We start from the raw sequence: 13,486 nt of genomic DNA, 5'->3' as shown, positions 1-13,486 counted from the left end.
TTTCTTCTACTGTGTGGTTTCCAGTTTTCATGCTTCCTGGATATTTTATATAACTTGAGGTTATCCTTCTTAACTCTCTGCTCACCCCCTCCCCTCAATTTTTCAGTGCTGTCAGGGTCAGTTACTAAATAATAGGGGCAGTTACTCAGTAACCTCTACTTTGTACGGAACTGTCAAAAAAAGTTTGCCTCTTGGGGCCAAATTGACATCTCCTTGACAGAATCCTTTTCACCTATTCCTCATGACTAAAATTCAGTTGGATACTTAACATGTCTTATACTGATAATCAATACTACCTATTTTAAAAACACCTGCAGCAGTGTTACTATAGCTCACCAGAGATAGCAATAAACATATAGCACAAAGCAAATTGTAACAGTAAATAGGATAATTAAACCTTTTCAATTATTTTTAGTAGTTTCAAGTACTATGAGAGAATGTAACTTAAAGACTTTACCATAAAAAATAACAGAATCTGGGTTAAAAGTGCTGCTTAACAAGACTTGGTATGCATGATTCAATTTTCTGTTAAGAGATTACCTCCAGTCGTTCTTTAAGAACACTCTACTGGACACGAACAGACACTTCTCAAAAGAAGACATTTATGCAGCCAAAAAACACATGAAAAAATGCTCACCATCACTGACCATCAGAGAAATGCAAATCAAAACCACAATGAGATACCATCTCACACCAGTTAGAATGGCAATCATTAAAAAGTCAGGAAACAACAGGTGCTGGAGAGGATGTGGAGAAATAGGAACACTTTTACACTGCTGGTGGGACTGTAAACTAGTTCAACCATTGTGGAAGTCAGTGTGGCGATTCCTCAGGGATCTGGAACTAGAAATACCATTTGACCCAGCCATCGCATTACTGGGTATATACCCAAAGGACTGTAAATCATGCTGCTATAAAGACACATGCACACGTATGTTTATTGCGGCATTATTCGCAATAGCAAAGACTTGGAACCAACCCAAATGTCCAACAATGATAGACTGGATTAAGAAAATGTGGCACATATACACCATGGAATACTATGCAGCCATAAAAAAGGATGAGTTCATGTCCTTTGTAGGGACATGAATGAAATTGGAAATCATCATTCTCAGTAAACTATTGCAAGAACAAAAAACCAAACACTGCATATTCTCACTCATAGATGGGAATTGAACAATGAGAACACATGGAGAAAGGAAGGGGAACATCACACTCTGGGGACTGTTGTGGGGTGGGGGGAGGTGGGAGGGATAGCATTGGGAGATATACCTAATGCTAGATGACGAGTTAGTGGGTGCAGCGCAGCAGCATGGCACATGTATACATATGTAACTAACCTGCACATTGTGCACATGTACCCTAAAACTTAAAGTACAATAATAATAAAAAAAAAGGAAAAAAAAAGAACACTCTACTGAATGTTAAAGAATGGAAGATAACTTGAAATAGAAAAAGATTAGAGTTGTAATTCTCCAACCACAGATACATATCAAGGTATTAGGGAGAAAAATGTGTAACTAAGGAGAACAGGAGGCTCCCTCATGGAGAGGCAGTCCTACTGTAAGTTTTGATTTTTGGTGGAGGTAGGTATTGAATCCTTATTTTAAATGGAAAGAAACAGGAGCATGCTATAGAACAAAGTTCAATACTTGCTTAAAATGTGGAGATGGAACAGGATAGCTGAGCTTGTAATTTGTGACTTGGGGCATTATTCCCAGATTGCAGCCACTACCTACCTCTTCAACCCACCTCCCCTATCCCAACATCATTAGCAGGATGTTGGGGTTGGAAGAGATTTTCCCTTATGCCATTAGGACTTGTTGGATCAGGACATTTGACAGTCACTGTATAGTACATTTACTATTTTTTTGTGTATGTGTACTATTAAACCATTCCTAATGAGATTTTTTGATAGCTGGTAAAAATATGTGAAATACATAGACCATTTGAACAGAACTTTAGATCAACCTGTGGATCTTCAAGATAAATTCATACCAACTCCAAAGACAAGAAATGAATCACTGACAAATTGAAGGGTGAATTTGGGAGAAATGCCATTTACTTTTGGCATGAAGACACTGGTTGATCTCTGGAATGCTATAAAATTTGTGTTTGTGAACCTTTCTCAAAGATCCTTAGATATAATCCCTGGTATTTCCAAGGGTAAGCCTTTGTTTTATTTCCTCAAGCCCTGAGGAAGTTGCCACCAAATGACACCAATTTTGATCACCAGCACTTTTCCTAAATATTCCTCAGAACTCTCTCTGGTAATAATAAGTCCCTGATTCATTTCTGCAGTGGGTTTCTCTTTAGACAGTCCAACGCATGTCTTTTTAAAATTCTTTTTTCTTCTTTCATTTTTGCCTCAGACATTTGTTTCTACTGGCAAGAGAGCTACAAGTTAGCAAAGGCCTCAGAAGCAGCCTCAGAAACAAAGTTTCTGTCTGACTTTCTACTGCTCTCCTGTCTTTCACCACTCATTATCTCCTAAAGCAAGCAGTAGAAACTAGAATCCCTCTTTCCCAAGGCAGTCATAGAAACAAGAACCCTTTTCCTCCAAGGCCACTAATAAAACCTAAAAATATTACTACAACTTTCACCCATCTTTCCGTGTAAGAACTGGCCATGAAATTTTCTGACCTACCTTATTTGATTGTAGGTCATAAGACCTGCATTCCAGAGAAGATCTTGCCTCTTACCAGAAGGAAGGAATGCTAAAGAGAAGCCAAGAAGAATCTTAACAGACTGGTCTTGCTGGATTTCTCCCCTTTGTTATTTTATTTTATTTTATTTTTTTGAGATGGAGTCTCACTCTGTCACCAGGCCGGAGTGCAGTGGTGTGATGTCAGCTCACTGTAACCTCTGCCTTCCGGGTTCAAACGATTCTCCTGCCTCAGCCTCCCAAGTAGCTGGGATTACAGGTACACACCACCACGACCAGCTAATTTTTGTATTTTTAGTAGAGATGGGGTTTCACCATGTTGGCTGGGATGATCGCGATCTCCTGACCTCATGATCTGCCCGCCTCAACCTCCCAAAGTGCCAGGGTTACAGGCGTGAGCCACTGCGCCCGTCCCTCCTTTGTTTATTATTATTAGGTCAGATCATTTTTGCCCAATCACATTTCCATATGACTGTCCATTCTTCATTAATCCCAAGCATAAAAATGAATAGTTCACCTTAAGTCTTCGAGTCTTAATTCTGAAGGCTCCCATGTAGCATAAAGCTATGATCAAATAAGTTTCTTATGCTGTTATTAATTTTTAAATTAATCCATCTATTATATTAGACTATTCTTCTATTAATCTGTCTTTGTTAGAGGGTTGCTGGCCATGACCCTTATGATGGGGAGGAAAGAGATCACCACCTCTCTATTCCCACACTGGCAATCGCTTCCCCGTCTTCTTCCCCTAATATTCCAGGATCCAAAGTATGTATCTTGAATCCTTCAAAATATATCCATAATTATCTGTATTTTCAAATAAGCCAAAACACCCCACAACAACACTATATGTAAATTCTTAAAAATACAAAGAAATCTCTTTATTTTATATAAGCCATTGGTGTTATCTGATTCTCAACTATTAGTAATCTGTTTATGCAGGTTCAAAGAATAATTTGCTCCCCATATAATCATTGTGATCTTCACTATCATAGTATTAGTACAGGATTCTGCAAAAATCTGAATACTACATGAATGCTTATAATTTAAATTGGGTGGCTTATCTTTTTAGTTTTTTTTGGTTATTGTTTTATTTTGCTTTTACTCCTGGCTACAATTTTTATGCTAAGAACACGTGCAAGATTAAAAACAAAAGCTTTACGCTTTAGCTATTATACACCAAATTATATTCTGTCTCAAAGTCCTATAAAACTTTATATATTCATCACTGCGCTTTCAAAAATTCCCTTGAAACTTCAAATTCTATTGAACCTCTCTAATGGGCATTCCTCCTCTAAGTTCCCACAATTTTCTCCATTAAATTCTGAGCCAAATGCCTCTTGCCTTTGGGAAAAATGCCCTTTACTTTTTGGCACGAAGACACTGGTTGATCTCCGGAATGCTATAAAATTTGTGTTTGTGAACCTTTCTCAAAGATCCTTATATATAATCCCTGGTATTTCCAAGGGTAAGCCTTTGTTTTATTTCCTCAAGCCCTGAGGAAGTTGCCACCAAATGACACCAATTTTGATCACCAACACTTTTCCTAAATATTCCTCAGAACTCTCTCTGGTAATAATAAATCCCTGATTCATTTCTGCAGTGGGTTTGTCTTTAGACAGTCCAATGCATGTCTTTTTAAAATTCTTTCTTCTTCCTTCATTTTTGCCTCAGACGTTTGTTTCTACTGGCAAGAGAGCTGCCAACTACCGCTTTTCCTGTACTGCAAATTTCTTTATTTTGGGCACCTTCTACTGTCTCTCTCTTCGAAATTTTCTTTACAAATTCAGGGATTAGCCTCTTTTAGTTTGATCTTTCATCTGCTCTCTCTCCTCTCTACTCAATCACTAGTCCTTCATCACTGTCTTTATTAACTTTAGAAGCTCTATTTACTGGCTTCAGCTGTGGCTAGAGCCATGAGATCTGACACTGAGCCCAAATGTAACCTGGCTCATGCTCCACGTGCCTTTGGGAAATACCACAGACAGGGCCAGGAGGTGCCTTGCTGGCATTTTTTCAGAACAAGCTTTCCAGCACCCTTTGAGGCCAGCAGTCTTTTATAACTTAGCTGTCAGCACCAGCACTTCTGTGATTATTGTCAGGTTTAGTCCCTTGCAGCCAACAGATTAAAAAAAAAAAAAATCCAAAACTCTCATTTTGGGCTGATAGATTACTAGCCTTTTGGACTTTATAAATGAGAATGTCTTCATTCTAGATGATAAGGTAGGGCAACTAACCCAGTGACATCTTGACATCGTCTTTTCCTTCATATCCACACCTAACCTAGCATCGACTCCTGCCAATTTTACCTCCTAAATATTCCTTATATTAGTAGACTTCTCTCCATTTCCCTAGGTCAAATGTCTATCAATTCTTGTATGGAAGACGGACATTTCTTTCTAAGTGGTCCACCTAGTGCTCCCTTTTGATCCTTTCAATTTGTTCACAGTAGAGTAGATCAGTAGTCCTCAAAGGATGGCACTAGATCAGCAGCATCAGCAACATCTGGGATCCTGTTAGAAAGGCAAATTCTTCTACCAGAACCCAGACATATGAAATCAGAAACTTTGGAAAGAGGCCTAGCAACATGCTTTGGCGAGCCCTCCAAGTAGTTCTGACGTACACTAAATTTTATTTTTTATTATTATACTTTAAGTTCTAGGGTACATGTGCACAACATGCAGGTTTGTTACCTATGTACACATGTGCCATGTTGGTGTGCTGCACCCATTAACTTGTCATTTACATTAGGTATATCTCCTAATGCTATCCCTCCCCTCTCCCCTGACACTACTACAGGCCCTGGTGTGTGATGTTCCCCTTCCTGTATCCAAGTGTTCTCATTGTTCAATTCCCACCTATGAGTGAGAACATGCAGTGTTTGGTTTTTCGCCCTTGCGATAGTTCGCTGAGAATGATGGTTTCCAACTTCATCCATGTCCCTACAAAGGACATGAACTCATCCTTTTTTATGGCTGCATAGTATTCCATGGTGTATATGTGCCACATTCTCTTAATCCAGTCTATCATTGATCAACATTTGGGTTGGTTCCAAGTCTTTGCTATTGTGAATAGTGCCACAATAAACATACATGTGCATGTGTCTTTATAGCAGCATGATTTATAATCCTTTCGGTATAAACCCAGTAACAGGATTGCCAGGTCAAATGGTATTTCCAGTTCTAGATCCTTGAGGAATCGCCACACTGTCTTCCACAACGGTTGAACTAGTTTACAGTCCCACCAACAGTGTAAAAGTGTTCCTATTTCTCCACATCCTCGCCAGCACTTGTTGTTTCCTGATTTTTTCATGATTGCCATTCTAACTGGTGTGAGATGGTATCTCATTGTTGTTTTGATTTGCATTTCTCTGATGGCCAGTGATGATGAGCATTTTTTCATCTGTTTTTTGGCTGCATAAATGTCTTCTTTTGAGAAGTGTCTGTTCACATCCTTCGCCCACTTTCTGATGGGGTTGTTTGTTTTTTTCTTGTAAATTTGATTGAGTTCTTTGTAGATTCTGGATATTAGCCCTTTGTCAGATGAGTAGATTGCAAAAAATTTTCCCATTCTTTAGGTTGCCTGTTCACTCTGATGGTAGTTTCTTTGGCTGTGCAGAAGCTCTTTAGTTTAATTAGATCCCATTTGTCTATTTTGGCTTTTGTTGCCATTGCTTTTGGTGTTTTAGACATGAAGTCCTTGCCCATGCCTATGTCCTGAATGGTATTGTCTAGGTTTTCTTCTAGGGTTTTTATGGTTTTAGGTCTAACATTTAAGTCTTTAATCCATCTTGAATTAATTTTTGTATAAAGTGTAAGGAAGGGATCCCGTTTCAGGTTTCTTCATATGGCTAGCCAGTTTTCCCAGCACCATTTATTAAATAGGGAATCCTTTCCCCATTGCTTGTTTTTGTCAGGTTTGTCAAAGATTAGATAGTTGTAGATATGCAGCATTATTTCGGAGGGCTCTGTTCTATTCCATTGGTCTATATCTCTGTTTTGGTACCAGTACCATGCTGTTTTGTTTACTGTAGCCTTGTATTATAGTTTGAAGTCAGGTAGTGTGATGCCTCCAGCTTTGTTCTTTTGGCTTAGGATTGACTTGGTGATGCAGGCTCTTTTTTGGTTCCATATGAACTTTAAAGTAGTTTTTTCCAACTCTGTGAAGAAAGTCATTGGTAGCTTGACAGGGATGGCATTGAATCTATAAATTACCTTGGACAGTATGGCCATTTTCACGATATTGATTCTTCCTGTCCATGAGCATCGAATGTTCTTCCATTTGTTTGTGTCCTCTTTTATTTCGTCAAGCAGTGGTTTGTAGTTGTCCTTGAAGAGGTCCTTCACATCCCTCGTAAGTTGGATTCCTAGGTATTTTATTCTGTTTGAAGCAATTGTGAATGGGAGTTCACTCATGATTTCGCTCTCTGTTTGTCAGTTATTGGTGTATAGGAATGCTTGTGATTTTTGCACATTGATTTTGTATCCTGAGACTTTGCTGAAGTTGCTATCAGCTTAAGGAGATTTTAGGTTGAGATGATGGGGTTTTCTAAATATACAATCATGTCATCTGCAAACAGTGACAATTTGACTTCCTCTTTTCCTAATTGAATACCCTTTATTTCTTTCTCCTGCCTGATTGCCCTGACCAGAACTTCTAACACTATGTTGAATAGGAGTGGTGAGAGAGGGCATCTCTGTCTTGTGCCAGTTTTCAAAGGGAATGCTTCCAGTTTTTGCCCATTCAGTGTGATGTTGGCTGTGGGTTTGTCATAAATAGCTCTTATTATTTTGAGATACGTCCACTGAATACCTAATTTATTGAGAGTTTTTTGCATGAAGGGCTGTTGAATTTTGTCAAAGGCCTTTTCTGCATCTATTGAGATAATCATGTGGTTTTTGTCTTTGGTTCTGTTTATATGCTGGATTATGTTTATTGATTTGTGTATGTTGAACCAGCCTTGCATCCCAGGGATGAAGCCGACTTGGTCATGTTAGATAAGCTTTTTGATGTGCTGCTGGATTCGGTTTGCCAGTATTTTATTGAGGATTTTTCCATCGATGTTCTTTTTCTGTTGTGTCTCTGCCAGGCTTTGGTATCAGGATAACACCAAAATAAAATGAGTTAGGGAGGATTCCCTCTTTTTCTATTGATTGGAATAGTTGCAGAAGGAATGGTACCAGCTCCTCCTTGTACCTCTGATAGAATTCGGCTGTGAAGCCTTCTGGTCCTGGACTTTTTTTAGTTGGTAAGCTATTAATTATTGCCTCAATTTCAGAGCCTGCTATTGGTCTATTCAGGTATTCCACTTCTTCCTGGTTTACTCTTGGGAGGGTGTATGTGTCCAGGAATTTATCCATTTCTTCTAGATTTTCTAGTTTATTTGCATAGAGGTGTTTATAGCATTCTCTGATTGTAGTTTGTATTTCTGTGGGATCAGTGGTGGTATCCCCTTTAACATTTTTTATTGCGTCTATTTGATTCTTCTCTCTTTTCTTCTTTATTAGTCTTGCTAGTGGTCTATCAATTTTGTTGATCTTTTCAAAAAAACTAGCTCCTGGATTCATTGATTTTTTGAAGGGTTTTTTGTGTCTCTATTTCCTTCAGTTCTGCTCTGATCTTAGTTATATCTTGCCTTCTGAGAGCTTCCACTGCTGATACCCAGGCAAAAAGGGTCTAGAGTGGACCTCCAGCAAACTCCAACACACATGCAGCTGAGGGTCTTGACTGTTAGAAGGAGAACAGAAAGGACATCCACACCAAAACCCCATCTGTATGTCACCATCATCAAAGACCAAAGGTAGAGAAAACCACAAAGATGGGGAAAAAACAGAGCAGAAAAGCTGAAAATTCTAAAAATCAGAGTGCCTCTCCCCCTTCAAAGGAACGCAGCTCCTCATCAGCGAGAGAACAAAGCTGGACAAAGAATGACTTTGACAAGTTGAGAGAAGAAGGCTTCAGATGATCAAACTTCTCTGAGCTAAAGGAGAAAGTTTGAACCCATCGCAAAGAAGCTAAAAGCCTTGAAAAAAGATTAAATGAATGGCTAACTAGAATAACCAGTGTAGAGAAGTCCTTAAAGGACCTGATGGAGCGGAAAACCATGGCACAAGAATTATGTGATGCATGCACAAGCTTCAGTAGCTGATTTGATCAACTGGAAGAAAGGGTACCAGTGATTGAAGATCAAATGAATGAAATGAAGTGAGAAGAGAAGTTTAGAGAAAAAAGAATAAAAAGAAACGAACAAAGCCTCCAAGAAATATGGGACTATGTGGAAAGACCAAATCTACATCTGATTGGTATACGTGAAAGTGATGGGGAGAATGGAACCAAGTTGGAAAACAATCTGCAGGGTATTATCCAGGAGAACTTCCCCAACCTAGCAAGGCAGGCCAACATTCAAATTCAGGAAATACAGAGAATGCCACAAAGATACTCCTCAAGAAGAGCAACTCCAAGACACATAATTATCAGATTCACCAAAGTTGAAATGAAGGAAAAAATGTTAAGGGCAGCCAGAGAGAAAGGTCGGGTTACCCACAAAAGGAAGCCGATCTGACTAACAGCTGATCTCTTGGCAGAAACTCTACAAGCCAGAAGAGAGTGGGGGCCAATATTCAACATTCTTAAAGAAAAGAATTTTCAACCCAGAATTTCATGTCCAGCCAAACTAAGCTTCATAAGTGAAGGAGAAATAAAATCCTTTATAGACAAGCAAATGCTGAGAGATTTTGTCACCACCAGGCCTGCCCTACAAGAGCTCCTGAAAGAAGCAATAAATATGGAAAGGAACAACCGGTACCAACCACTGCAAAAACATGCCATATTGTAAAGACCATTGATGCTAGGAAGAAACTGCATCAACTAATGAGCAAAATAACCAGCTAACATCATAATGACAGGATCAAATTTACACATAACAATATTAACTTTAAATGTAAATGGGCTAAATGCTCCAATTAAAAGACACAGACTGGTAAAATGGATAAAGAGTCAAGACCCATGAGTGTGCTGTATTCCGGAGCCCCATCTCACTTGCAGAGACACACATAGGCTCAAAATAAAGGGATGAAGGAAGATCTACCAAGCAAATGGAAAACAAAAAAAGGCAGGGGTTGCAATCCTAGTCTCTGATAAAACAGACTTTAAACCAACAAAGATCAAAAGAGACAAAGAAGGCCATTATATAATGGTAAAGGGATCAATTCAACAAGAAGAGCTAACTATCCTAAATACATATGCACCCAATACAGGAGCACCCAGATTCATAAAGCAAGTCCTTAGAGACCTACAAAGAGACTTAGACTCCCACACAATAATAATGGGAGACTTTAACACCCCACTGTCAACATTAGATGTACACTAAAATTTGGGGATTCCTCCAATAGCGTGATGTTTCAAACCACAGATCACATATTACCATTCTGTTTTAGGGCTGTTGATGAATTCCAATTGCTTATAAGATAAAAAAAAAAAATGTTAAAAGTCTTCATGTAGCTTAAGGAGCCCTGGATGATGGGGACACAGCTTTTGTCACCAGTCTCAGCACATGCCAATGTTGCATTCCCTCCATCACCATGCTTGTCCCTCTCACAGAGCTGCTCCACCAGCCCTCACCTCTCCCTGGAGCAGATTCCCTCCTCTCTTTACTGATATATTCCTTTTCACTTTTTAGCTCTCAGTTCTACTGGCAGTAGCTTGTGAAAAGTTCCTGACAGTCTCCCAACCTTCCCCGAACAGTCTCCCAACCTTCCCCCAACACACTAAATCAAAACCCCAAGTACACATTTTATAGTACCACGTGTCATTTTTGCACAGCATTTGCCACAGTATCAAGTTTACCTAGATTTGTGTGAGTATACGATTAATGTTGTCATCTCTGTTCAATTGTAACCAGGCTCATAAGGCAAAGATTGGGCGTTTTTACTCAGATTCCAGTCCCTAGTGCCTAAATCATACTTGTCATATTCTTGCTCTCAACGTATGTGTTATGACTGACCAAGGAGCTAACAACCATTCAGCATTTCCAATGTTTAAACCACCAGACTAAGATTTTTATATAAATTTTACCATTTAATTTTCAGGAAAAATGTATTTCTTACTGTTCATTTAACAAATATATATATATATATCAAATAATATATATTTGTTAAATGAAAAATATATGTGCATGTGTTTAAACACACACACACACACACATATATATATATTTCTTTCTATATGCCAAGCATGGTTCCAAGCATTTTGCAGGTAATAATTCCTTTAAATCTCACAACCAGATGAAATATGGGTTAGAATTACATCAGTTTTTCCAGATGAGGAAACTGGTGTACATCTTTCTGCCTCAGGTCACACGTATTGCTTTAAGAATAAATGTTGACAACTGAGTGCAGTGGCTCATGCCTGTAATCCCAGCACTTTGGAAGGCCAAGGCAGGATTGCTTGCTACTCAGGAGGCTGAGACAGAAAAATTGCTTGAATCCAGGAGTTCGAGGCTGCAGTGAGCTACGATTGTGCCACTGCACTCTAGCCTGGGCAACAAGTCAGGTCCCATCTCTAAAAATTATATATATACATACACACACACACAAAAGAGAGAGAAAATGAAGATTCCAGTTAACAGTTGCAAAGACTTCTATGAATTATATGAATGAAAATTTATTTTATGATATATATTTCCCTGGAGTCATTGTTAATTAGAACAAACTAGATTCACCAACACTTCCCTGTCTGTTCTCTTTCTGGAAGCCAACGGCCAGGAACAGTGGTCACGTGCCATCAGGAGAGTGTAGAAAGGTGAATCAGAACAGTGAAGGAATCTAGATTTGTTTTATTATTGGGGTGTTTATGAAGAAATTCAAGGAACATCAAGGATTAATGATGCATTAATTGCTGATCCAAGGCCTCTGTGATAGTTGTATCCCCTCCTAGGCACATTCTCTTTCAGATAAATTCCTTATGTGCTGCTTTGTTGAGTCAGCTTTCAAAATTAACTAACCTCAAAAAACCAAGTTGCCTAAAAACAATAAGGGGAGAGATAAGAAAGAATGTAAGTAAACATTTCACTTATGTCCCAGAGTTTTCCACACAACACCATCAGTTGATAATTTTAAAATATTTATTTTAATCACTTAAAACAAAATAAAGAATTCCCTCCCTGTATATTTTTATAATCCAAATTCCCTGGATCTCATCAAGCTACTATATAAGGTCAGATATTAACTGACTATATTGTGATAGTTTGATCCTTCGTTGATCTTACCACTGAAAATTTCTTTTCTTTCCCCAGTTGTTTCTGTAAAAGACCACAGGAGTTTTATATGGATTCCAAACTTTTCTAGGAATTACAGTCTGCACCCACCCTACTTGCCCTTTATCATTTGGCTGCCACTAGTCTGAGAATCTGTCTGATGCAAGCTCATTTCTGCTCCTCCCTATTGGATGTGTGGGCCCAGAATCCCAAATTCAGTGGTTCCTTGACCTCTAACTCTGCAGTTGCCAGTCTGGCTTTATGTTGCAGTTGGAAAACTGACTATCTGAATCAAACTTTCTTGCTGGTTTCAGTGGCTTTGAATTCAGTGAAACACTCACAGCATCTCTTCCAGAACATTTCCCTTAATTTCTGGTCCTCTATCTGCTAATGATAGAGGCTTTAGTCCAGTTTACAGGGCAGGATAGAGAATCCATGGGAAACCAACTGCTTTATCCTCCTTGACTCTTTCCTACACCCTTTTTTCTAACATTAGGCTTGGCTGGTAACCTGGTCTAATCTTTTGCTATTATGTTTACATAAAATTCTTGCTCTTCCAGTTTGTGATGGTTAATTTTATGTGTTAACTTGCTTGGGCCATGGGATGCCTGGATGAATGGTTAAACATTCTTTCTGGGTGTGTCTGTGAGAGTGTTTCTGGAAAAGATTAGCACTTAAATTGGCGGACTGAGTAAAGCAGATAGCCCTCCCTAATGTGGGTAGACATCATTCAACCCATTTTAAGGCCTTAATAAAGTAAAAAGGTAGAGAAAGGCTGAACTTGCTGTCTGCCTGACTGGTTGAACTGGAGCATGGATCTTCTGTCCTCAGGTTTCCTGGTTCTCAGCCCTTAGATCTGAAATGGAATTGACACCATTGGTTGTCTGGGTTTCAGGCCTTCAAACCACTCCCAGCTTTTGTGGGGCTCCAGGTTGCAGACAGCAGATTGTGAAACTTTTTAGCTGTCATAATCGTGTGAGCCAATACCTTATAATAAATCTCTTTCTATACAGATAAATTTCTTTTATATGTATTCTATATATATGATAAATCTCTTTACTGTTGGTTCTGTTTCTCTGAGAACCCTAATACACAGTTACAAAACAAACACCATCGTGCATATCAGGGACGTTAACATACTAAGAAGAAGGCTGCAGGAGTCAAAGAGAGAGTATTACCTTAGATGGGGCATTGCTATGACAACAGTTTCTGCATCAGACCAAATTTTGCAGGCTGATCATCTTTTGAGCTCATGGGAAACTAATTAGCACCAGCTTTGCTGGGATTAAATAAAAATGTATCACTGTGGTTAATTAGGAGCTCTGAAACTTCAAGTTCAATTTACAATAAGAGAACAAACTAGTAAGAACTGAAATAGAAAAAATAAGCCACAAAGATGTCAACAGCCTAAGAAATAATATGATAAAAGTATAGATTATGAGAAAAGTAAAGAGATTTTTAGAAAAAAAGGCAAGTTTAATCAGCTTGCATCTGAGTAATCTGAAAATGAACTAATTAACATACTTTTTGGAAAATGATGTTATTAGAAAAAAGGTGGAAAGGCAGAG

General features: G+C 38.7%; 1 protein-coding gene across 6 annotated transcripts in view; it reads right to left on the bottom strand.

Moving 5' to 3' along the window:
* FUT9 (fucosyltransferase 9) overlaps positions 1 to 13,486 on the bottom strand; it is a 199,639-nt gene that overhangs the window by 16,102 nt on the left and 170,051 nt on the right. The gene's annotated exons all lie outside the window — the stretch shown is intronic.

The sequence above is a fragment of the Homo sapiens genome, chromosome 6 (assembly GCF_000001405.40).
Source record: "Homo sapiens chromosome 6, GRCh38.p14 Primary Assembly".
NCBI lineage: Eukaryota > Metazoa > Chordata > Mammalia > Primates > Hominidae > Homo > Homo sapiens.
This window is presented reverse-complemented; position numbering and strand designations above follow the sequence as displayed.